This window comes from Homo sapiens, chromosome 1 (genome assembly GCF_000001405.40).
Source record: "Homo sapiens chromosome 1, GRCh38.p14 Primary Assembly".
In the NCBI taxonomy this organism is placed as follows: domain Eukaryota; kingdom Metazoa; phylum Chordata; class Mammalia; order Primates; family Hominidae; genus Homo; species Homo sapiens.
In genome coordinates, this window is record NC_000001.11 from 25313117 (window position 1) to 25336608 (window position 23492).

At 45.0% G+C, this 23492-nt stretch overlaps 2 protein-coding genes across 16 annotated transcripts in view, besides 5 other annotated features; one reads left to right on the plus strand and one right to left on the minus strand.

Moving 5' to 3' along the window:
- Positions 1-17329, plus strand: part of RHD (Rh blood group D antigen) — a 57960-nt gene extending 40631 nt beyond the window's left edge. For 3 of the 8 annotated variants that reach the window (NM_001282872.1, NM_001282870.1, NM_001282868.1), the window contains 2 exon segments: positions 3884-3963; positions 15782-17329. In NM_001282872.1, the coding sequence (NP_001269801.1) occupies positions 3884-3936 (53 nt within the window). In that variant the 3' untranslated portion in view covers positions 3937-3963; positions 15782-17329. 8 annotated transcript variants of the gene reach the window in all.
- RSRP1 (arginine and serine rich protein 1) overlaps positions 1-23492 on the minus strand; it is a 96006-nt gene that overhangs the window by 70868 nt on the left and 1646 nt on the right. Inside the window, exon 2 of one of the 8 annotated variants that reach the window (NR_135790.1) lies at positions 4947-5155. The exons of the other annotated variants lie outside the window; for them this stretch is intronic. The gene's annotated coding sequence lies outside the window, so the exon portion shown is untranslated. The remainder of the gene's footprint in view (positions 1-4946; positions 5156-23492) is intronic. 8 annotated transcript variants of the gene reach the window in all.
- Positions 9539-10267: an enhancer, noted in NCBI's record as "NANOG-H3K4me1 hESC enhancer chr1:25649146-25649874 (GRCh37/hg19 assembly coordinates)". NCBI's record gives its function as "activates a minimal SCP1, AML or CMV promoter by ChIP-STARR-seq in naive H9 embryonic stem cells {active_cell/tissue: H9 hESC(naive)}" and the evidence as "EXISTENCE:reporter gene assay evidence [ECO:0000049][PMID:30033119]".
- Positions 15910-23492: part of a meiotic recombination region, noted in NCBI's record as "downstream Rhesus box that can recombine with the homologous upstream Rhesus box", that runs on past the window's edge. NCBI's record gives the evidence for it as "EXISTENCE:nucleotide sequencing assay evidence [ECO:0000219][PMID:10845894, PMID:15752150]".
- Positions 21642-22172: an enhancer, noted in NCBI's record as "H3K4me1 hESC enhancer chr1:25661249-25661779 (GRCh37/hg19 assembly coordinates)". NCBI's record gives its function as "activates a minimal SCP1, AML or CMV promoter by ChIP-STARR-seq in naive H9 embryonic stem cells {active_cell/tissue: H9 hESC(naive)}" and the evidence as "EXISTENCE:reporter gene assay evidence [ECO:0000049][PMID:30033119]".
- Positions 21795-22696: a chromosome breakpoint, noted in NCBI's record as "breakpoint region for unequal crossing-over between the upstream and downstream Rhesus boxes to result in a single-hybrid Rhesus box with a deletion of the RHD gene". NCBI's record gives the evidence for it as "EXISTENCE:nucleotide sequencing assay evidence [ECO:0000219][PMID:10845894, PMID:15752150]".
- Positions 21795-23258: a sequence comparison, noted in NCBI's record as "sequence_comparison; region almost identical to the corresponding region of the upstream Rhesus box". NCBI's record gives the evidence for it as "EXISTENCE:sequence similarity evidence [ECO:0000044][PMID:10845894, PMID:15752150]".

The following is a 23492-nucleotide window of genomic DNA, read 5'->3' on the forward strand; positions in this document are numbered from 1 at the left end:
TAACTAGGATTAGATAAAGTCATCAGGGTGGGGCCCCTATGATGAGACTGGTGGCTTACAAGAGGAAGAGAGAACTGAGCTGACATGCTCTTGCCCTCTTGCCATGTGATACCCTCTGCCATGTAATGGCAGGCACAGCAAGAAGGTCCTCAACAGATGCCAGCAGCATGTTCTTGGACTTCCCAGCCTCCAGAACCATGAGCTATATATACTTATTTTACAAATTACCCATTCTGTGGTATTCTGTTATAGCAATAGAAAATGAACTGAGATAATATACATGGAATCATACAGTAAGTCTGTGCTTTTGTATGCTTCTTTTACTCAACATTGTAGTTGTGAGATTCATCCAGGTTGTTAAGCATTGCTGTACCCTTTTTCCACTGGGATATAGTGTTCTGTCATGCTTGGGTCTTAATTTATAAAGGTGACTGAGTGGCATTTTCTTCCAGTATTATTGGAAGGAAAGTTTTGTTGTTCACAGTTCCCCTGTAAACAAGAGGCAGAACACGTCATGCAGGGCCACACAAAACTGTATCATCCAGGGACCAGGCAGCAGAAAGAGAGGGGGAACTGGGACTATGCCTTTATGAAAAAGAGTGGTGGGAGAGTAACTGGGTGAGGGCATCCACTAATGGGCAGGAAGTGAAAACACATATGTTAGAATTTGTAGCTGAGGGGTTTATAATATGAGTTTCCTATGCCTGAGAAAGCTGACTTGCAAGAAAATGAGATAAACAACTTTGGCCATTAGTGTGGCCCTGTCATAAATGAATGCCAGATAGGCAAATAGAGAATCTAAGAAAAGATAGTTGGAACAAGTGTTCCATTGTGTGAATGCAGCAGAATTTATTTATCCATTATTGAGGAGGATTTGGGTAGTTTCCAGTTTGGAGCTATTATGAATATTCTAGTATTGCTCCTATGAACATTCTAGCACTTTTATTTTTGGAGCACACGAATGCACTTCTGTTGATTATATGCCTAGAAGTGAAATTGTTGAATTATACAGTATTCACACAGTCAGCTTTAGTGGCTACTGCTAAACAATTTTCTCTAGTAGTTTGCGCCAATCTAATCACCAGTAGTGTATAGAAGCTCCTTTTACTCCACATTTTGCCAACACTTGGTGTTTTCCTTCTTTTTGATTAGTCATTTAGCAATCAAACCTATTGTTTACATTTTGATATCTCCAATAACTAACTAAATGGAGCACTTTTAATATGCTTTTTGGACAGTTGAATATCTTTTCTTGTGAAATGTCTATTCAAGTTAGTTTGCCCATTTTCTATTGTGGTGTTCTGTCTTTTTCTTATTGATTTGTAGGAATTCCTTACGTATCCTGGATATGAATCCCACTTTGTGCGTTACCTTTTTCCTTCTTTCTTTCTTTTTGAAACAGAGTCTCCTTCTGTCACCCAGGCTGGAATGCAGTGGCGCTATCTCAGCCCACTACAACCTCTGCCTCCCAGCTTCAAGCAATTCTCATACTTCATCCTCCTGAGTAGCTTAGATTACAGGCGCATGCCACCATGCCCAGCTAACTTCTGTATAGACAAAATAATTTTTGGTAGAGACAGGGTTTTGCCATGTTGGACAGGCTGATCTTGGACTCCTGGCCTCAACTTTGGCCCACCTTGGCCTCCCAAAGTGCCAGGATTACAGGTGTGAGCCACCATGCCCAGCCCACCTTTTACTTTCTTAATGGTGTCTTTTGAACAAGAGAGGTTCTTAATTTTAATATAGCCCAATTTATCATTGTTCCCTTTATGTTTAGTTCTTTTATGTCCTTTTTAAGAATTTTTGCAGCCAGCGCGGTGGCTCACACCTGTAATCCCAGCACTTTGGGAGGCTGAGGCTGGCGGATCACAAGGTCAAGAGATCGAGATCATCCTGGCCAACATGGTGAAGCCCTGTGCCTACTAAAAATACAAAAAATTAGCTGGGCGTTGTGGCTCTTGCCTGTAGTCTCAGCTACTCGGGAGGCTGAGATCACGCCACTGCACTCCAGCCTGGTGACACAGCAAGACTCCATCTCAAAAAAAAATTTTTTTTGCAAGGTCATGCATATGTCCCCCTGATTTTTTTCCTAAAAATCACTTATTATTAGATCAATGAATTGAGTAATTGACTACATTTTTCAGTCATTCAACAAATATTTCCCTGAGGTTTTGATAACCTGAACTGTGTTTGGAGCTGGGGAGGAAGCAAACTATTGAAGATATACAAAGATGGCAAAGATGAGGGCCTGGAGCTTGCCACACGGAAGGGGGGATGGCTGCCTGAATGGTTGGGCAGGTAGTTGTTGACATCTGCACTCCCTACATGAGCAGCAGGGTGGCAACTCTTTTTATCTTTTTAATTTATTTTTCTTTTCTTTCTTTCTTTTTTTTTTTTTGAGATGGAGTCTCGCTGTGTTGCCCAGGCTGGAGTGCAGTGGCGTGATCTCAGCTCACTGCAAACTCCACCTCCCAGGTTCACGCCGTTCTCCTGCCTCAGCCTCCTGAGTAGCTGGGACTACAGGCGCCTGCCACCACTCCCGGCTAATGTTTTGTATTTTTAGTAGAGAAGGGGTTTCACTGTGTTAGCCAGGATGGTCTCCATCTCCTGACCTCATGATCTGCCCGCCTCGGCCTCCCAAAGTGTGGGGATTACAGGTGTGAGCCACCACACCCGGCCTTAATTTATTTTTCTAGTCTGCAGGTAATTCTTTTTAATTCTCTCCACTCTCCTATGATCTTATGAGGTAGGGACTGTCATTATTTCTCCCACTTTATAATGAACAATCAGTAAAGACAGGGAAGATAACCAAATGACATACAAGGTGGGGTCCACCCCATGAGGCTGCAGGCTTGGAGCTTTGCTTTGTCTTAAAAATGAGAACATGAGCTGCCCACCTGTTGAGACAAGAAACAGGAAAGGCTTAAAAAACTGGCTTGTTATGTACAACTATCCGTGGGGCTGCAGTGAACGGGCTGGCAGTGCCCAGGTGCAGGCTGAACCCTGGGACAATCACATTCAGCATCCAAGGGCCCCCGTAATAGCTTAATGTTTGAATTGAACCCCTGGGGTTGCCTTGAAGGAGAGAGGTCGTGGAAGTATGTTCAAGGGGTAGGGATGGGCAGGGGAGATGGGTCTGAAAGCCAAGCTCTACCCCACCCACCTTGCCCCAAGAGAAATAGAACCTTCATCTTTAATTGCCTAACGAGAAAACTGGGGCTGGCCAGATGTGGTGGCTCATGTCTGTAATCCCAGCACTTTGGGAGGCCGAGGCGGGCAGATCACTTGAGGTCAGGAGTTCGAGATCACCCTGGTCAACATGGTGAAACCCCGTCTCTATTAATAATACAAAAATTATCCAGGTATGGTGGCGCATGCCTGTAGTCCCAGCTACTTGAGGCACAAGAATCGCTTGAACCTGGGGGACAGAGGTTGCAGTGAGCCGACCACTGCACTCCAGTCTGGACGACAGAGTGAGACTCCATCTCACAAACAAAAACAGAAAAAAAAAAAAAAAAAAGAGAGAGAGAGAAAACTGGAGGCTCTGAGAGGTTGAGGGACTTGCCCAGGGTCTTGCAGCTAGTAAGTGACAGAGCTGGGACTTGAGCTTGGGTTTTCTGACTCCTGGTCTGGTTCATTATCCATGAGGTGCTGGGAACTAAAATAAGCCACAATCTTGGAATCTCCGTCGCCTCCCTCCCTCCCACATGTCTGCGTGGCTTTTTGGGAAAATGCCAGGGGAATGTACCAGCCAGGGAGAGGACCCTTGTTTTCCTCATGGCCCTTCCTGGCAATGGCACTACTGACACCGACAGTCCTTTTTGTCCCTGATGACCTCTGCTGCCTGATGCCCAAGTGACCACCTCTGCTTTGTCATTTCTAGGATTGGCTTCCAGGTCCTCCTCAGCATTGGGGAACTCAGCTTGGCCATCGTGATAGCTCTCATGTCTGGTCTCCTGACAGGTCAGTGTGAGGCCACCTTTCTTCCACCATTGCCAGGACACAGCACCCACGTCCAGAGCGCACCCTGCCGTGTGGCTGGATGTCTATGTGCCCCATCTCCTTCCCTGAGGATCACATAATTTCAGAATTGGAAAGGTTCTTAGAGGTCACCTGCTGCTAATGTGGACTGTGAGGCCAGGGCAGGGAAGGGACATCCCTGAGGTTATAAGTAGGGTGAGTGGCAACGTTGCAGACTTTTGAACCCAGGGCTGGTGATCACACTCAGTTTTGCACAGAAGCCCGAGAAAATCCTTACACCCAAAAGCCTACCTTTTATTTCTGAGGACACCCATAATACTATTTTATTCAACAGATATTTATTCAATATCCACTATGAGCCAGGCACTGGGGACACAGCAGTGAGCAAAACAAATTCCCTGACCCCATGGAATTGACCTTCTAGTGGGGGAAGGTATTAGCAATAAATAGACAAATAAGTGTCTACTACGCCAGATGGGAAGAAGTGGCTGTGAAGACAGAGCAAACTAGAGAAACATAGAGTCAATGTGGGATGGGGTGTTCTTTTAGGGGGGTGGTCAGGGAAAGCTTATCTGAGTAGTTAGCTTTTAAGCAGAGACCCCAATGAAGAGGAGGGAGATATGCGATGCATTTAGTTAGGGGAAGAACATTCCATGAAAATAGGATAGCAAGTGCAAAGGCCCTGAGACAGCAGCATGCTTTGTGTGTTGAGGGAACAGTAAGGAGACCAGTGTGGTTGGTGTGAATGGAGTGAGAAGGAGCAGCAGGGGTTGAGGGCAGAATGGTAGTGAGGAGCAGGCCCTTATAAAAGATGGGAAGCCACTGGAGATCTTTCAACAAAGGGGAAAAGTATGTTTCTGTTCTTGCAATAAAATAGAACAGCAAAAAATCTAGGGGAGTTGCTAATTAGCCAGTTTTACTTATATGCCAGGTGAAAATATGTGGCTAGGTGCAGTGGCTCATACCTGTAATTGCAGCAGTTTGGGAGACCGAAGTGGGCAGATCATCTGAGATCAGGATTCAAGACCAGCATGGCCAACATGGTGAAACCCCATCTCTACTAAAAATTAAAAAATAAGCCAGGCGTGGTGTTGGATCCCAGCTACTTGGGAGGCTGAGGCAGTAGAATTGCTTGAACCCGGGAGGCAGAGGTTGCAGTGAGCCGAGACTCTGTCTAAAAAAAAAGAAAAAAAGAAAATACACATTCAGGCCAGGTGCAGTGGCTCACGCCTGTAATCCCAGCACTTTGGGAGGCTGAGACAGGTAGATCACTTGAGGTCAGGAGTTCGAGACCAGCCTGACCAACATGGCAAAACCCTGTCTCTACCAGAAATACAAAAATTAGCCAGGCGTGGTGGCGTGTGCCTGTAGTCCCAGCTACTGGGGAGGCTGAAGTAGGGGAATGGCTTGACCCCAGGAGGTGGAGGTTATAGTGAGTCGAGGTTGCACCACTGCCCTCCAGCCTAGGTGACAGAGTGAGACTGTCTCAAAAAAAAAAGAAAGAAAATATACATTCCATCCAGAACTGTTCACCTTTATTCTACAAGCAAACATCTTTTATTGGTTAGACACCCATATATGTGTCCCTAAGCAGGAGGTGAATGCCAAATAAGAGACAAATGGCGTAAGACACTATGAGTTGTGTGACGTTGGGCATGTCACTTTACTCCCTCTGAGCCTTGGTTAGCTTCTCTGTAAAATGAAAGGATTATGGTAACTAAGCTGGCTTCCTTCCAGCTTTAACAAACTGTATGGAGGTACTTTTTGGAGTTACCTGGGTAATTTTTGAGTGTGAGATTGGCTAGAATTGCTTTAATATACCATGTCTGGCCTTAGCTTTTTGCAGAGTCTTTGTGAAGAAGCAGAGGCGGAGTAGCGTTAATTCCGTAAGTTAACGTTCAGTTCGTGGCAGCTGGCAATCCAACCCTGGGAAAGGCTGCCGGATTTAGCAAAAATGCAAGGTGTCTGTTTTTAAATTTGAAATGAATTGGGTATCCTGCATTTTATTTGGCAACCCTGTCCTGGGACTCACACTATTCACTGTTATCACTGGTATGTTCAAAGTGGTGCTGACTTGCCCTCTGTCTTGCAAAGTACCAGGAGGTCTTTTCTTATTCTTCACTGGAGTCAAAAAAGAGAATAGAGGAAAAGACAATCATATTGTTCCTTTAAGAGTTAAGACCAACAAGTTTTCTTCTTTACATGTTGTTTTTGACATGAGCAAACTGGTGATTAAAAACAACTTGGGTGGCTCATACTTGTAATCCCAGCACCTTGGGAAGCTGAGGTGGGAGAATAGCTTGAGGCCAGGAGTTCAAGCCAGGGCAACATAGTGAGACCCCATCTCTACAAAAGATACAAAAATTAGCCAGGCGTGGTGGTACACCTGTAGTCCCAGCTGCTCTGGAGGCTGAGATGGGAGGATCAGTTGAGCTTGGGAGGCAGAAGTTGCAGTGAGCTGAGATCATGCCACTGCACTCCAGCCTGGACAACAGAGCAAGACCCTGTCTCAAAAAAGGAAACAAAACAACTTGGACAATGGAAGGGGGAAAAAGTTCCTCAAGCAGCCAAAATTGCACCAAATGGACTCCCAGAAGACAAGCATTTAATTTGTTAATTGAGCCCTCTATGGGCCTGTCTGTATTTATTTAAGAAACAATCCTATCAAGCATAGTTATTGGGTTTCTCAGCCCAGGTAGATTAGAAATAGCAGATTAGAGGTGGGCTAGGTTTCTAGAGGTAAAGTACACCAGCAGAAGTTAGAAGTGAAAGCAAAGAGCCTAACAGAGGAAGAGAAATTCTTTTTTTTTTCTTTTTTTAGACGCAGTTTTGCTCTTGTTGCCCAGGCTGGAGTGCAATGGCGCTATCTCGGCTCACTACAACCTCAGCCTCCTGGGTTCAAGTGATTCTCCTGCCTCAGCCTCCCGAGTAGCTGGGATTACAGGCATGCACCACCACACCCGGCTAATTTTGTATTTTTAGTAGAGACAGGGTTTCTCCATGTTGGTCATGCTGGTCTCGAACTCCTGACCTCAGGTGATCCGCCCACCTTGGCCTCCCAAAGTGCTGGGATTACAGGGATAAGCCACTGCGACCGGCCGACAAATTCTTAAAACTGGACACAAGAACACAAAACGCTTGGGCTGCTGAGAGATTAGAACAACAACCCTCCACAGCTACACACCTTTTCCACGTTATATGGCACGTTATAAGTGGGTGTTCCTAGTGATGGTTCTGATTTTTTTTAAAAAAAGTCTAAATATGTTTAATGTTGTCTCAGAAGACAAAATATATTTTAGACAGATATTCCTCAGTGATGAGTAAGCCTCAGCTATCTGGAAAATTCATGCAGGCGCCAGAGATCGTTACTGAGTAATTCAAGCTAACTGCGTCATGCTGGTTGTACCCTGCATGCCAATATCAGCTAAAAGCAGCACCACGAAAGGGAAATACGAATCTCACTAAGCACTCGCCCATTCTTGTTAACGACACTGGAACTGATCATCCTTAATAATACACAGATAAATCTATCAGGAGCATTTCCTTGCTTCCTGTGAAAGGAAGCACTCATTCCATGTGTCCTGTGAAATTCATCCAACTTCAGGAAGCTGGAGGAATACATATGGCCAAGCTATCTGGGCAGAGAGTAGACAGGGAATGGAGGTTGGGCACAGTGGCTCACACCTGTAATCGCAGCCATTTAGAAGGCAAAGGCGGGCAGATCACTTGAGCTCAGGTGTTCAAGACCAGCCTGGGCAACATGGCTAAGTCCTGTCTCTGCAAAAAATACCAAAAACTGAGCTGGATATGGTAGCACACACCTGTGGTCCCAGCTACTTGGGAGGCTGAGGTGGGAGGGTTGCTTGACCCCGGGAGTTTGAGGCTGCAATGAGCTGTGATTGTGCCACTGCACTCCAGCCTGGATAACAGAATGAGACTCTGTCCCAAAAATAAAAAATAAAATCAAAGACACTTAAAAAGATGGGGAAAAGGAAGGACAGGCACTTAAGCAAGTTATAAGCTACTTTCCTAACTACACAAGTGGAATCTTAAGCTGAGGTTCCCAGGAGTTGACTGGAGCCAGAGAAGACAGACCTATAGGAGCACCCAATTGGAGTCACCCTCCATAGTAGCCCATATGTCTTACATGGATCAGCTTTCGTGGGGCCCTTTTACTCCATCTGGGGAAGGGCGTCAGATCTGTGGCTCTCATGTACTGCTCAGTACACTGCCATTCCCAGTTCTTTTTTTCAAAAAAAAAAAAAAAATGTCTACAGAATCGGCCAGGTGTGGTGGCTCATGCCTGTAATACTAGCACTTTGGAAGGCTGAGGTGGGTGGATCACCTGAGGTCGGGAGTTCGAGACCAGCCTGGCCAACATGGTGAAACTCCATCTCTACTAAAAAAAAAAAAAAAAAAAAAATTAGCTGGATGTGGTGGCAGGCGCCTATAATCTCAGCTACTTGGGAGGCTGAGGCAGGATAATCGCTTGAACCTGGGAGGCAGAGGCTGCAGTGAGCCGAGATCACGCCATTGTACTCCAGCCTGGGCGATAGAGTGAGACTCTGTCTCAAAATAAATAAAATAAAATAAAATAAAATAAAATAAAATAGGCTACAGAATTAAGCTGGTCCAGGAATGACAGGGCTTCCATTTATTTGTCTTTCAATTGTGGGAGAAAAAGGATTTCTGTTGAGATACTGTCGTTTTGACACACAATATTTCGATTAATCTTGAGATTAAAAATCCTGTGCTCCAAATCTTTTAACATTAAATTATGCATTTAAACAGGTTTGCTCCTAAATCTTAAAATATGGAAAGCACCTCATGAGGCTAAATATTTTGATGACCAAGTTTTCTGGAAGGTAAGATTTTTCACCTATTAACGTGATAGATTTTGAGTGCATGAACTTAAAAACATACCTGAGTATATATGTTGACTTGCTGTTTATGAGTAAAACAAAAACAAAAATGGAGTAAGGAGCATTGCAGGAGGAACTAGAGGAGAAACAAATCCATGATATGCATGTGTGTGGGGGAGGGTGGCGGGGAGGTGGTAAAGGTCACCATTTCCCTGATACCTCAAATTCATTCAGAGTCAGGGATGAGACAGCTTTCACTGGCCACACTTCCCCTCCCCCTATCTGCAGTCCTCAGCGTAGCCAAATAGTCTGACATGCGGGTGACAGAACCCCACAATGCAAAAGCTGGAAGAAACCTCAAGCCTTGGAGTCCAACCCCTTTTTTGACAGATGCTAAGAGTGGAGACATGACTTATCAAGATCTTACAACTGGCTGGGCACGGTGGCTCACGCCTGTGATCCCAGCACTTTGGGAGGCTGAGGTGGGGCGATCACCTGAGGCCAGGAGTTCGAGACCAGCCTGGCCAACGTGTCGAAACCCCATCTCTACTAAAAATACAAAAGTTAGCTGGGTGTGGTGGCACATGCCTGTAATCCCAGTTACTCAGGAGGCTGAGGCAGGAGAATCACTTGAACCTGGGAAGCGAAGTTTGCAGTGATCTGAGATCATGCCACTGCACTCCAGCCTGGGTGACAGAGCGAGACTTTGCCTCAAAAACAAAACAAAACAATTGTACATATTTAAAGTGTTGTAACCAAGTGAGTTACAGAGAAACACCACACTTTGAGCCTAATTCAGGAGTCCTTTATTAGCCGGCGACCTAGAGACGACTAGTGCTCAAAATTCTCTCGGCCCCAAAGAAGGGGCTAGATTTTCTTTTATACCTTGGTTTAGAAAGGGGAGCGGGAATTGAGCTGAAGCAATCTTACAGAAGTAAAACAGGCAAAAAAGTTAAAAAGACAAATGGTTACAGGAAAACAAACAGTTCCAGGTGCAGGAGCTTTAAAGCCATCACAAGGTGACAGGTGCGGGGGCTCTGGGTGCTATCTGCCGGACACAAACGCAGGGGCACTAGAGTACTATCACCCGGGCAAATTCCTGGGAACTGCGGACACAGCTTGCCACAGTACCTTATCAGCTAATTGCACTCTTTGATGTGCTGGGAGTCAGCTTGCACAAGTTAAGTCCTTGAGGAAGGGGGTGGGTAAGGAGCCCTTAACGTCTTGCAAATGAAGGAGCCGAATGGAATCCCTCCGGCTTTCTTAGCTAAGAGAGAGTCAATCAAGTTAATACAAGTTAGGGTATCACAAAAGTATATAATTTGATACATTTTAACGTATTTATACACTGAAGAGACCATCACCACCATCAAGACAAGGAGCACACCCATCACTTCCACACACTTCCTCCTGCTCCTTTGAAATTCCTCCCTCCCTACCCACCTGGTCCCACCCAAAGGCAACCACTGAACTACTTTCTGTCACTAAGGTTTGCATTTTCTGTAATTTTTTTGTTTGAGACAGGGTCTCACTCCGCCACCCACACCGTAATGCAGTGGCACCATCATGGCTCACTGTAGCCTCAACCTCCCCAGGCTCAGGAGATCCTCCCCCCTCAGCCTCCTGAGTAGCTAGGACCACAGGTGTAGGCCACCATGGCAGGCTAATTTTTGTATTTTTTTGTAGAGATGGGGTTTCACCGTATTACCTAGGCTGGTCTCGAACTCATGGGTTCAAGCAATCCTCCTGCCTTGGCCTCTCAAAGTGCTGGGATTATAGGCATGAGCCACTGTGCCCAGCCCTCTGTAATGTTACACAAAGGGAATCATGCAGCACGTACTGCCCTTGGTCTGGCTTCTTTTGCTCAGCATGATTATTCTGAGAATCATCCGTGTTGTTGCGTGTAACTGACTTCATCAGCTTCTCTCTGCAGCTGTCAGCTCTTGGCTTCTCCCAACAGCCAATCTCTCTTTATCCCCTGCAAGTGTTCTTGCCTATTTAGCAGAATCAAGGTACTCTATCGAAAAGACTCGGAAAATTGGTTTAATCTATTCATTCATTCCTCAGGTATTTATCGAATAACTATTCTATACCAAGTACTATGCTAATCAACCAAGGACAGCACAAACAGGAGAAATCTCCAGCTCAGTCACTTGAGTTGCAATAAATATTTGCTGGATAGGTCAGGTGCAGTGGCTCACACTTGTAATCCCAGCACTTTGGGGATTACTGAGACGGGAGGATCTCTTGAGCCCAGGAGGCCAAGGCTGCAGAGAACCATGATCATGCCACTGCACTCCAGCCTGGGTGACAGAGTGAGATCCTGTCTCTGAAAAAAAATATTTGCTGGATAAATTAAGGAAATCTGACGAACCCCATCAGTAGCCATTGCAGCAACAGGTAAACTAGAACGAGTGTGAATTTGGAATGAGGAAACCCGATGTTGGCCATCATTCTGTAATGTCATGTATTATGTAATGTATTATATATTAATGTATGTATTATGTAGGCAAGTTCCTTGACCTCTCTCACTGGTAACATAAGAGTAGTAATCTTTGTGCTACTTCACTGGGTTATTTTAAAGATCAAGTGAGGTAATAATGTCTGTAACAACATTCTGTAAAATGCAAACCGCCACATGAATGTGAAAGTTTATTACTAGGGATTTAGCCAACCACAAGGGAATGTGTGAGCATAAGAGCTATCATATTGCAAGCCTACAGTTTCTGATTTTGTGCTAGGTGCTTTTCCACATTACCTGATTTTATCCTCACAACAGCCCTGCATAAAAGTAAGTATGTCGCCCAGGTGCGGTGGCTCATGCCTATAATCCCAGCACTTTGGGAGCCCGAGGTGGGCAAATCACTTGAGATCAGGAGTTTGAAACCAGCCTGGTCAACGTGGTGCAACCCTGTCTCTACTAAAAATACAAAAAAAAATTAGACAGGCGTGGTGGTGGATGCCTGTAATCCCAGCTACTTGGGAAGCTGAGGCAGGAGAATGGCTTGAGCCCGGGAGATGGAGATTGCAGTGAGATGAGATTGCGCCACTGCACTCCAGCCTGGGTGACAGAGCAAGGCTATGTCTCAAAAGAGAAAAAAAAAGTAAGTATCTCAGTCTTGAAGATGATGAAATGGAGGCCTAGAGAGATTAAGTAACTTGCCCAAAATGACAGAACTAATGCATAGAAAAGAAGAAATGTGATGTCTTTTGGCTCCAAAGACACCCCACATATGCGTTGGTTACAGTTACTAGAGAAAAGTTATTCCACCCCCACCCCACCCCCAGAAATCTTCTGACTTGTTTTCTCGCAGTTGAGTAGGACCATTTATTCGGCAGTGTACCATTCTCAGCTTGCAGTTGAAAGCCAAATATCCATTAAAGAGGCAAGGATGCAAACTTGCTAAGCTGATAAATCCAGGGGTGATTTTTTTTTTTTTTGCAAACCATCCAACAAGACATTTTAAATACTCATTGAATTTCATAGAACTGACTGCCAGGATTGGAAAGACATTAAAGCCAGCTCAGCCACTGCCTCGCTGGTTGGCCAGACCACGCCTGGCACTTCTGGGAGGGAGCACTCACCACCCCCCAAGGGCACCCATCTCATCCTCCGAAGGTTTATGAAAATGCACTCATCATTTGCTAATTCATTCCACTACGTGTATTACCTAATTTGTGACACGATGTGAAGTACCAGAGAGATAATTCTAAATAAAATATAGTTATGGGTCTCAAGGAGCCAGATATGCTAATCTCCTATCCTCCTGCAGTTTACAGTGGTCCTCACCAGATACTTATTTACAAAAATTCAGTTTATTATTTATTTTTTTGAGACAGAGTCTTGCTCTATAGCTCAGGCTAGAGTGTAATGGTGTGATCTCGGCTCACTTCAACCTCTGCCTCCCAGGTTCAAGTGATTCTCCTGCCTCAACCTCCCAAGTAGCTGGGACTACAGGCACCTGCCACCACGGCTAATTTTTGGAGTTTTAGTAGAGACAGGGTTTCACCACGTTGGCCAGGCTGGCCTCGAACTCCTGACCTCAGGTGATCTGCCCACATCAGCCTCCCAAAATGTTGGGATTACAGGCGTGAGCCACCATGCCCGGCCAAAACTTCAGTTTATAACACAATCTTTCACGTGTCTTCTGCTTTCATTAAAAGAATAGACAGTTCCCTTCTTTATTTCAGTTTAATAAACCATGGATTTTATTTCATGCTTTGCAAAACACAAGGGCTCACTGACATGCACTTCTTAAACTAATTCTGGCTGGTCGCCTGTAATTCCAGCACTTTGGGAGGCTGAGGCCGACAGATCACTTCAAGTCAGGAGTTCAAGACCAGCCTGGCCAATATGGTGAAACCACGTCTCTACCAAAAATATAAAAAATTAGCCAGGTGTGGTGGTGCGTGACTATAATCCCAGCTACTCAGGGGCCTGAGGCAGAAAAATCACTTGAACCCGGGAGGCGGAGGTTACAGTGAGCTGAGATCGCGCCACTGCACTCCAGCCTGGGCGACAGAGTGAGACTCTGTCTCAAAAAATAAATAAATACAAATAATGTAAAATACGAAACAAGCAATCCTGGCAGTAGCTGCTGGAATGAGAGGAGGGAGAGGTCATAGGGAGGTCGGGGACAATGGAGCATGGAGTTGTGTTGGATTTGGCTAAGCAGCAGGAAGTGCAAGGCATTCCAAGCAAGAGGAGGGGGGCAGGTGGGGAGCATCTGCAAGAACAGAAGCAGCATGAGCAACCTGGCTCGGCAGTGTGTGAAAAGGCTGAAAGGTGGCTAGAGCCACTTCAATTTCATCCTTCAGGCAAATGGGAAATTCCCAAAGGTTTGAGTGGGGAAGCAATGCCTACAATGAAAGTTTGAGAGTGAAGCAGAGTGATCGAATTAAGCATGTAGGCCGAGTTCTGAAATAACTGCAATGTGCTGAAGATCATCCATTGGCTTCTGAATGAGTATTTGCAGTTTATTTTTTAAAATGATTTTATTGCCAAGAAAGATAAACACTACTGTTTTGGTACAAAAACATAACAAAATGTGTTGAGTCCCTCTTGCTGTTTTACGCGAAGTTTTAAAAATCTACTCTTGTCACAGTGGTATCACCCCTACTTCTGATTTCAAATAAATGTTCTAGAGACACAGTAAGGGCCCAACAAACGCTTGTTCAACAACACAAGGAGAGCCAGCTTTTAAAGTAGGAAAACAGGCCGGGCGCCGTGGCTCACACCTGTAATCCCAACACTTTGGGAGGCTGAGGTGGGCAGATCACTTGAGGTCAGGAGTTCAAGAACAGCTTGGCCAACATGGTGAAACCCTGTCTCTACTAAAAACACAAACATTAGCCAGGCGTGGTGGTGCACACCAGTAGTCCCAGCTATTCAGGAGGCTGAGGCAGGAAAATGGCTTGAACTGGGGAGGCAGTGGTTGCAGTGAGCCGAGATCGTGCCACTGCACTCCAGCCTGGGGGACAGAGGGAGACTCCATCTCAAAATAAAACAAAACAAAACCAAATCATACAAAAACATTAGCTGGGTGTGGTGGTGCATACCTGTAATCCCAGCTACTTGGGAAGCTGAGGCAGAATTACTTGAACCCCTGGGGGGAGGTTGCAGTGAGCTGAGATCTTGCCACTACACTCCAGCCTGGGCAACAGAGTGAGGAGACTCTGTCTCAAAAAATATATATATTAAAAAAAAGAAAAAAAAAAGTAAACTAGGAAAACACATCAGCAGCCTGCCAACAGACTCCCCTAGCCTCGGTGAGGGCCAGTGTTCTGGGAGGCAGATCTGAATTCTAGTCCTAGTTCACCCACTGGCAGGCTGGTGCCCTTGGGCAGGTCGCTTCTCTGGGGCTCAGTTTCTTCCTCTATAAAATGAGATCAAATCCCATGTTCTAAGAGTTTGTGCTCTGGAGTCAGACAGATCTGGGTTCTACCACTGCCAGCTCTGTGATCTTGTAGCTTCAGTCTCGTCATCTGACATGGAGATAACAGTAACTGTCTCACTGTGTTGTTAGGGTTTAAAGGAGATAATGTATGTGAAATGTTAGCAAACAAGTGTTAGCTACCCTGATTTCCGGTTTCAGAGTTCTGTGGTCCCAGTTTATGCCACATGCAGTGACGTTGTATGGTAGGCTGTGGTGTGGCACCACTTCAGAACTCAGCGCATGCACAGCTTGCAGAAGAGAAGGCCAGAGGAGACCTAAGAAGGCTCTTCGAACACTTGAAAGACCGGCATGTAGGCCGGGCGCAGTGACTCACGCCTGTAATCCCAGCAGTTTTGGAGGTCGAGGCGGGTGGATCACCTGAGTTTGGGAGTTTGATACCAGCCTGACCAACAAGGTGAAACCCCGTCTCTACTAAAAAATACAAACATTAGCTGGGCATGGTGGCGGGTGCCTGTAATCCCAGCTACTCCGGTGGTTGAGGCAGAATTGCTTGAACCCGGGAGGCAGAGGTTGCAGTGAGCTGAGATTGCATCACTGCACTCCAGCCTGAGACAAGAGCGAAACTCCATCTCAAACAAAACAAACAACCAACCAAACAAAACCAAAAAAAAAACTGGCATGTAGAAGAAAAATACTTTTTCTCTACACTTCTCCAAAGAATTTAACTAGGCCCAGGGGAGGTGCAGTATAAATTTCTAACAATCTCAACTGTCTGCCAAATGGAATGAGCTACTTCATATGGCAGTAGTGAGTCCTCTGTCTTTGGAGGCATTCAAATAAAAGCCAGATGGCCATTTATCAACAATCCATGTAAAACGTTAGATGAAATAAAACCTATATATCCAAGATCTCTTCCAATTCAGATTTTATGAAAGAATTTCTAAGGTCTTTGTAATGAGACATTTAGGCTGTTTCAAGAGATCAAGCCAAAATCAGTATGTGGGTTCATCTGCAATAAAAATGTTTGTTTTGCTTTTACAGTTTCCTCATTTGGCTGTTGGATTTTAAGCAAAAGCATCCAAGAAAAACAAGGCCTGTTCAAAAACAAGACAACTTCCTCTCACTGTTGCCTGCATTTGTACGTGAGAAACGCTCATGACAGCAAAGTCTCCAATGTTCGCGCAGGCACTGGAGTCAGAGAAAATGGAGTTGAATCCTTTCTCTGCCACTCTTTGAGGAGAATCTCACCATTTATTATGCACTGTAGAATACAACAATAAAATACAGCCATGTACCACATAACAACATCTTGGTAAACAACAGACTGCATATATGATGGTGGTCATCCAGTAAGCTAAGGTTAATTTATTATTATTCCTTGTTTTTTTTTTTTTTTTTTTTTTTTTGAGATGTAGTCTTACTCTGTCACCCAGGCTAGAGTGCAATGGCACCATCTTGGCTCACTGCAACCTCTACCTCCTGGGTTCAAGCAAATCTCCTGCCTCAGCCTCCAAAGTAGCTGGGATTACAGGCACCCACCACATCTGGCTAATTTTTTGTATTTTTAGTAAAGATGGGGTTTCACCATGTTGGCCAGGCTGATCTCAAACTCCTGACCTCAAGTGATCTGCCCGCCTCGGCCTCCCAAAGTGCTGGAACCACAGGCCTGAGCCACTGTGCCCAGCCTTGTTTGCTTTTTTAACAGATAACAGTGTGCTCATAGAAACTGCTTTGACATGACTGCAATCATGTGCTTCATAGAAACTTAATTAGATTATACCACTAGAGTCTTCAGATTTTTATACTTTTTTTTTTTGAAACGGAGTCTCACTCTGTCACCAGGCTGGAGTGCAGTGCCGCAATCTCGGCTCACTGCAACCTCCGCCTCCCAGGTTCAAGCAATTCTCCTGCCTCAGCCTCCCGAGTAGCTGGAATTACAAGTGCGCACTACCACACCCAGCTAATTTTTGCATTTTTACTTGACAGGGTTTCACCATGTTGGCTAGGATAGTTTCACCAGGATCTCTTGGCCTCATGATCAGCCTGCCTCGGCCTCCCAAAGTGCTGGGATTACAGGTGTGAGCCACCGTGCCCAGCCTATACTTCCCTTTTTGAATACCATTTGGTGTTTTGAAGAATTAACAGCTTTGTGAACGTGGCAGTGCTTGTGATTCAGGCTTCCATTGAGACCAAGGGGAGAACCTGGTTGCAGGACAAACAGACGGACAGCGTGTGGCAGTGTTTAAATGCTCTTCTGAAGGCTGATACGACAGCTCTCTGTGCACTGATTGCATATGCATCCCAAGATTATATTATTGTTTTCTACTGCTATGTGTCACACTTTGCCAAACAGGATGTGGAAAATGAATAAGCGGTTTTCTTAGGCACTTCTTAACAGACAATTGGTCAAAATGAACTCCATTGCTTAAGAAACACATAAACACCATTTAGTCACTGAACATAGCTATATGTATGGTTGTTACTATGGGAAATCTTGTTTTGCCAATTTTCTTTGAAAATTCTGGCAGACCAAGGTTCTTTTTGTTTACATAATACTTGAAAAATAAAAATGAACAAGCTAACAAACTACCAAGTTTTCACTTACATAAATGTAGTTGCATACAGAAAATGTGACTGTGAATTAATTTTTCTAGGACTTTTAAACTATAAGCACTATTTGCACAAAAGAGAACCAATCTATCAATTACAAACTCACATAATTTTACAGATTTTTTTTTTCCTACACAGCACATAAAACAGAAGGAATTTGAAGCCACCCTCCAAACACAGGGGAAGGAGGCTGTGTGTATATCCTCATTGTCTTTCACATTCTAAGGTGGTTCCACTCAGTGACTGAAATCCTTAAGCGTTGTATTAGTCTGCTTGGGCTACCATAACAGCAGCTTAAACTGTTGTTTAGCCACTCAGACTTAAACAACAGAAATTTATTTCCTTATAGTTCTGGAGGCTGGAAGTTCAAGGTGCCGGCAAGGTTGGTTTCTGGTGAGACCTCTCTCCCTGTCTTGCAGATGGCTGCCTCCTCCCTGTGTCCTCATAGAGCCTGTCTTCTGCTTTTACACTTCTGGTGTCATCTTCCTTTTTTTTTTTTTTTTTTTTTTTTTTTTGAGACAGAGTCTCGCTCTATCGCCCAGGCTGGAGTGCAGTGGCCCGATGGATCTCGGCTCACTGCAACCTCTGCCTCCCAGGTTCAAGCAATTCTCCTGCCTCAGCCTCCCAAGTAGCTGGGACTACAGGTGCCCACCATCATGCCTGGCTAATTTTTGTATTTTTAGTAGAGACAGGGTTTCACCATATTGGCCAGGCTGGTCTCGAACTCCTGACCTTGTCATCTGCCTGCCTCGGCCTCCCAAAGTGCTAGGATTACAGGCGTGAGCCACCGCACCCGGCCTCTTCCTCTTCTTATAAGGACACCAGTCCTATTAGATTAGGGCTCCACCCTCATAACCTCATTTGACCTTAACTATTATTTCTTTAAAGCACCTATTTCCAAATATAGTCACTTTAGGGGTTAGGGCTTCAAAAGATGAATCTGAGGGAGCTCAATTCAGTAAATAGCAGTAGTCATTAATGGACAATGTATACAAAGATAATTTCGTGATTACTGTCCTTATGCATAAACGTCCTCAGTGTTCCACTGCGTTTATCCAGATTTAGTATCACAAAGACTTTGCTCTGAGAAAAATGTGATTTTTTTTTTTTTTTTTTTTTGAGACAGAGTCTTGCTCTGTCACCCAGGATGGAGTGCAGTGGTGCAATCTCGGCTCACTGAAACCTCCGCCTCCCAGGTTCACGCCATTCTCCTGCCTCAATCTCCCGAGTAGCTGGGACTACAGGCGTCCGCCAAGATGCCCAGCTAATTTTTTTTTTTTTTTTTTTTTTTGAGACGGAGTCTCGCTCTGTTACCCAGGCTGGAGTGCAGTGGCGCGATCTCGGCTCACTGCAAGCTCCGCCTCCCGGGTTCACGCCATTCTCCTGCCTCAGCCTCCGGAGTAGCTGGGACTACAGGCGCCCGCCACTACGCCCGGCTAACTTTTTTGTATTTTTAGTAGAGACGGGGTTTCACCATGTTAGCCAGGATGGTCTCAATCTCCTGACCTCGTGATCCACCTGCCTCAGCCTCCCAAAGTGCTGGGATTACAGGCATGAGCCACCGCGCCCAGCAGATTTTTTTTTTTTTTTTTGAGATGGAGTCTTGCTCTGTTGCCCAACCTGGAGTGCAGTGTTATGATTTTGGCTCACTGCAACCTCTACCATGTTCAAGCGATTCTCCCACCTCTGCCTCCCGTGTAGCTGGGATCACAGGCACACGCCACCACACCTAGCTACTTTTTGTATTTTTAGTAGAAATGGGGTTTCACCATGTTGGCCAGGATGGTCCCGAACTCCTGACCTCAAGTGATCCTCCTGCCTCGGCCTTCCAAAGTGCTGGGATTACAGGTGTGAGCCACTGTGCCTGGCCAAAAATGTGATTTCTTATTTCCCACATTGCCAATTCCATTTCAATTAACTATAATAGCTATGTCTATTGAGCACTCAAGCGTATTCTAGAAACTGTTCCTGATTCTGGGGATATATCCATGAATGAACTATAGTCCCTGTTATTAAGTAATCCGTAGTCTGACTAAACCATTAGAAATTAAAAAAAAATGGCTACTTTCAAAGACATCTTGGAGTTCAGGAGTCCCACACTGCGAACCATATTACCTAATAATCCAACCTGCTTGTAATTCACTTATTTAACCAATATTTATTGAGTGCCAACTTTGAGCCTAAGATACAGCAGTAAACAAATGCATAAAGTCCCTGTCCCCATGAAACTTGTATTCTAATGGAAAAAACAGAAAACAAACAGATATAGGATGTAATATCAGGTAGGGATAAATACTTTGAATTCAAACAAAAGTATACGTAGTCAGGGTTCCCCAGAGAGACACAGCCAATCGATACATAGATATATAAGAGAGGGTTTATGAGTTAGAAAGGGCTCACATGATTACAGAGGCTGAGAAGTCCCACAACAGATTGTCTGCAAGCTGGAGACCCAGGGATACTGGTAGCATGGCTCAGTCCAAGTCCCAAAGTCTCAGAATCAGGAAAGCTGATGATATAATTCTTAGCCCAAAGGCCTTAGAACCCCAGCGGTGACGGAAAGGCTGGTGTAGGTCCTGGCGTCCTGAGACCCAACAGCCTGGGATCCTGAAATCCAAGGGCAGGAATGGAAGCGTGTATTCCAGCTCCAAGAGAGTAAGACCAATTTGCCTTTCTTCCGTTTTTGTTCCAAGCCAACTGCACGTTGAGGGCGGATGGTTCCCTCTTAGCCCATTCAGTCATATATCAATCTCTTCTGGAAATACCCTCACAGACACACTAACAAATAATGCCTTTCCAGTTCTCTAGGTATTCTTTAATCCAGTCAAGCTGACACCTAAAATTAACCATCACAAAAGTTAAGGAGAAAGAAGACAACTTGTAGGAGAGGCTGCTATGCAAGACAGTGTGTGAAGGAAGGGCTCTCTGAAGAGGTTAATATCTGAGCAGAGACTTGAATGAAGTGAAGAAGTGAGCCATGTGGGTATGGGGAATACAACTTCCAGGTAGAGAAGACAAGTGTGGTGTGTATCACGGTCAGCAAAGAAGCCATGTGACAGAGAAGGGTGGGCCAGGGAGAGACGGATAAGTGATCTAACTCCTGAGGAGGTGGCCTGGCCAGGAGCTAGAGCATGAGGATCTCGTAGGATTTTATTCTGCAAGGTGAAAAGCCATTGTATTAGTCTGTTCACAAACCCCAGACTAGGCAATTTACAAAAGAAAGAGAGGTTTAATGGACTTACAGTTCCACATGGCTGGGGAGGCCTCACAATCATGGCGAAAGGCAATGAGGAGCAAGTCACGTCTTACGTGGATGGCAGGCAAAGACAAAGACAGCTTGTGCAGAGAAACTCCCCCTTATAGAGCCATCAGATCCTGTTAGACTTATCACTATCACGAGAACAGCACGGGTAAGACCTGTCCCCATGATTCAGTTACCTCCCACTGGGTCCCTCCCACAACGCATGGGAATTCAGGATGAGATTTGGGTGGGGACACAACCAAACCCTATCATTCCACCCATGGCCCCTCCCAAATTTCATGTCCTCACATTTCAAAACCAATCACACCATCCCAACAGTCCCTCAAAGTCTTAAATGATTTCAGCATTAACTCAAAAGTCCACAGTCTAATGTCTCATCTGAGACAAGGCAAGTCCTTTCCATCTATGAGCCTATAAAATCCAAAGCAAGTTAATTACTTCCTAGATACAATGGGGGTACAGGCATTGGGTAAATACAGCCATTCCAAATGGGATAAATTGGTCAAAACAAAGAGGCTACAGGCCCATGAGAGTCCAAAATCCAGTGGGGCAGTCAAATCTTAAAGCTCCAAAATGATCTCCTCTTGACTCCACATCTCACATCCAGGTCACGCAGATGGAAGGGGTGGGTTCCCATGGTCTTGGGCAGCTCTGCCCCTGTACCTTTGCAGGGTACAGCCTCCCTCTCAGCTGCTTTCATGGGCTGGCATTGAGTGTCTGCAACTTTTCCAGGTACACGGTGCAAGCTGTCGGTGGATCTACCATTCTGGGGTCTGGAGGACCTCTTCTCACAGCTCCACTAGGTGGTGCCCCAGTAGGGACTGTGTGTGGGGTCTCTGACCCCACATTTCCCTTCTGCACTGCCCTGGCAGAGGATCTCCATGAGGGCCCTGCCCCTGCAGCAAACTTCTGCCTGGGCATCCAGGCATTTCCGCACATCCTCTTTAATCTAGGCGAAGGTTTCCAAACCCCAGTTCTTGACTTCTGTGCACTCGCAGTCTCAACACCACATGGAAGCTGTCAAGGCTTGGGGCTTGCACTCCCCGAAGCTACAGCCCAAGCTCTACCTTGCCTCCTGTCAGTCATGGTTGGGAGTGGCTGGGATGCAGGGCACCAAGTCCCTAGGCTGCACACAGCATGAGGACCCCGGGCCTGGCCAACAAAACCATTTTTTCCTGATATCTCTGGACCTGTGATGGGAGGGGTTGCCATAAAGACCTCTGACATGCCCTGGAGACATTTTCCCCATTGTCTTGGGAATTAGCATTTGGCTCCTGTTACTCATGCAAATTTCTGCAGCCAGCTTGAATTTCTCCTCAGAAAATGGGAATTTTTCTTTTCTATCACATTGTCAGGCTGCAAATTTTCCGAACTTTTATGCTCTGCTTCCCTTATAAAACTGAATGTCTTTAACAGCACCCAAGTCACCTCTTGAATGCTTTGCTGCTTAGAAATTTCTCCTGCCAGATACTCTAAATCATCTCTCTGAAGTTCAAAGTTCTACAAATATCTCGTGCAGGGGCAAAATGCCGCCAGTATCTTTGCTAAAACATAACAAGAGTCCCCTTTGCTCCAGTTCCCAACAAGTTCCTCATTTCCGTCTGAGACCACCTCAGCCTATGGACTTTATTGTCCACAGTGCTATCAGCATTTTGGGCAAAGCCATTCAACAAGTCTCTAGGAAGTTCCAAACTTTCCCACATTTGCCTGTCTTCTTCTGAGCCCTCCAAACTGTTCCAAACCCTGCCTGTTACCCAGTTCCAAAGTCACATACCCATTTTTGAGTATCTACGGCAGCACCCCACTCTACTGGTACCAATTTAGCCACTGAAGTAGTTGGAGAACAGAAGTAATAGACTCTGGTTTACATTGTAAAAGCTTCTCTGTGGCTGCTGTGTGAAGAAAATATATGAGAATGAAGCCCCAAGATGAAGCAGGGACACAGTTGCAGTGGTTAGAGTAAGAAATGCTGCTGGCTGGCACTGAAGTGATAGCCTGGAGGTTTGTGTGTGCACATGCATGTGTATGTGTTTTACGATAGTAGGCCCAACAGATACTGTAATCCACACTTGTTTTTTTTTTTTTGAGACAGAGTCTCACCTGTTGCCTAGACTAGAATGCAGTGGCACAATCTTGGCTCACTACAACCTCCACCTCCCAGGTTCAAACAATCCTTGTGCTTCAGCCTCCCGAGTAGTTGGGATTACAGGTGTGTGCCACCGTGCCCAGCTATATTTTTTGTATTTTTAGCAGAGATGGGATTTTGCCACATTGGCCAGGCTGGTCTTGAACTCCTGGCCTCAAGCAATCCTCCCACCTTAGCCTCCCAAAGTGCTGAGCCACCACACCTGGCCGCAACTGATTTTTAATCATGAAATGACACATACATTTAAAAAACCCAATACCTATAATATTCCTGGCTAGTACTCTTCACATCTATATCATCAAAAACAAAGAAAGTATGTGAAACTGACACAGCCAAGGGGAGACTAAGGAGACATAACAATTAACTGTAATGTGGTATTCTGGAGGGGATCCTGGAACAGAAAAAGACATTAGGCAAAAAACTAAAGAAATCTGAATAAAATGTGGATGTCAGTTAATAATAATGTATCATATTAGTCCAGTAATTGTAACAAATATACCACAATAATGAAAGCCATTAATTATAGGGAAAATGGAGGGGTTAATATGGGTGGCTGGCTTTTGCTATTTCTAGCAGCTCCATTTTATCTACAAAAGACAAACATTCATTAAGTCCCAAAAAGGTAAAGAATGACAAATTAAGCATGTATCTTATTAGTAAGAGTAATATAAAGATGCTCACTCATATTTATAAATATTTGACAATCATGTTAAGGCCAGAAAAGAGAAAAAAGG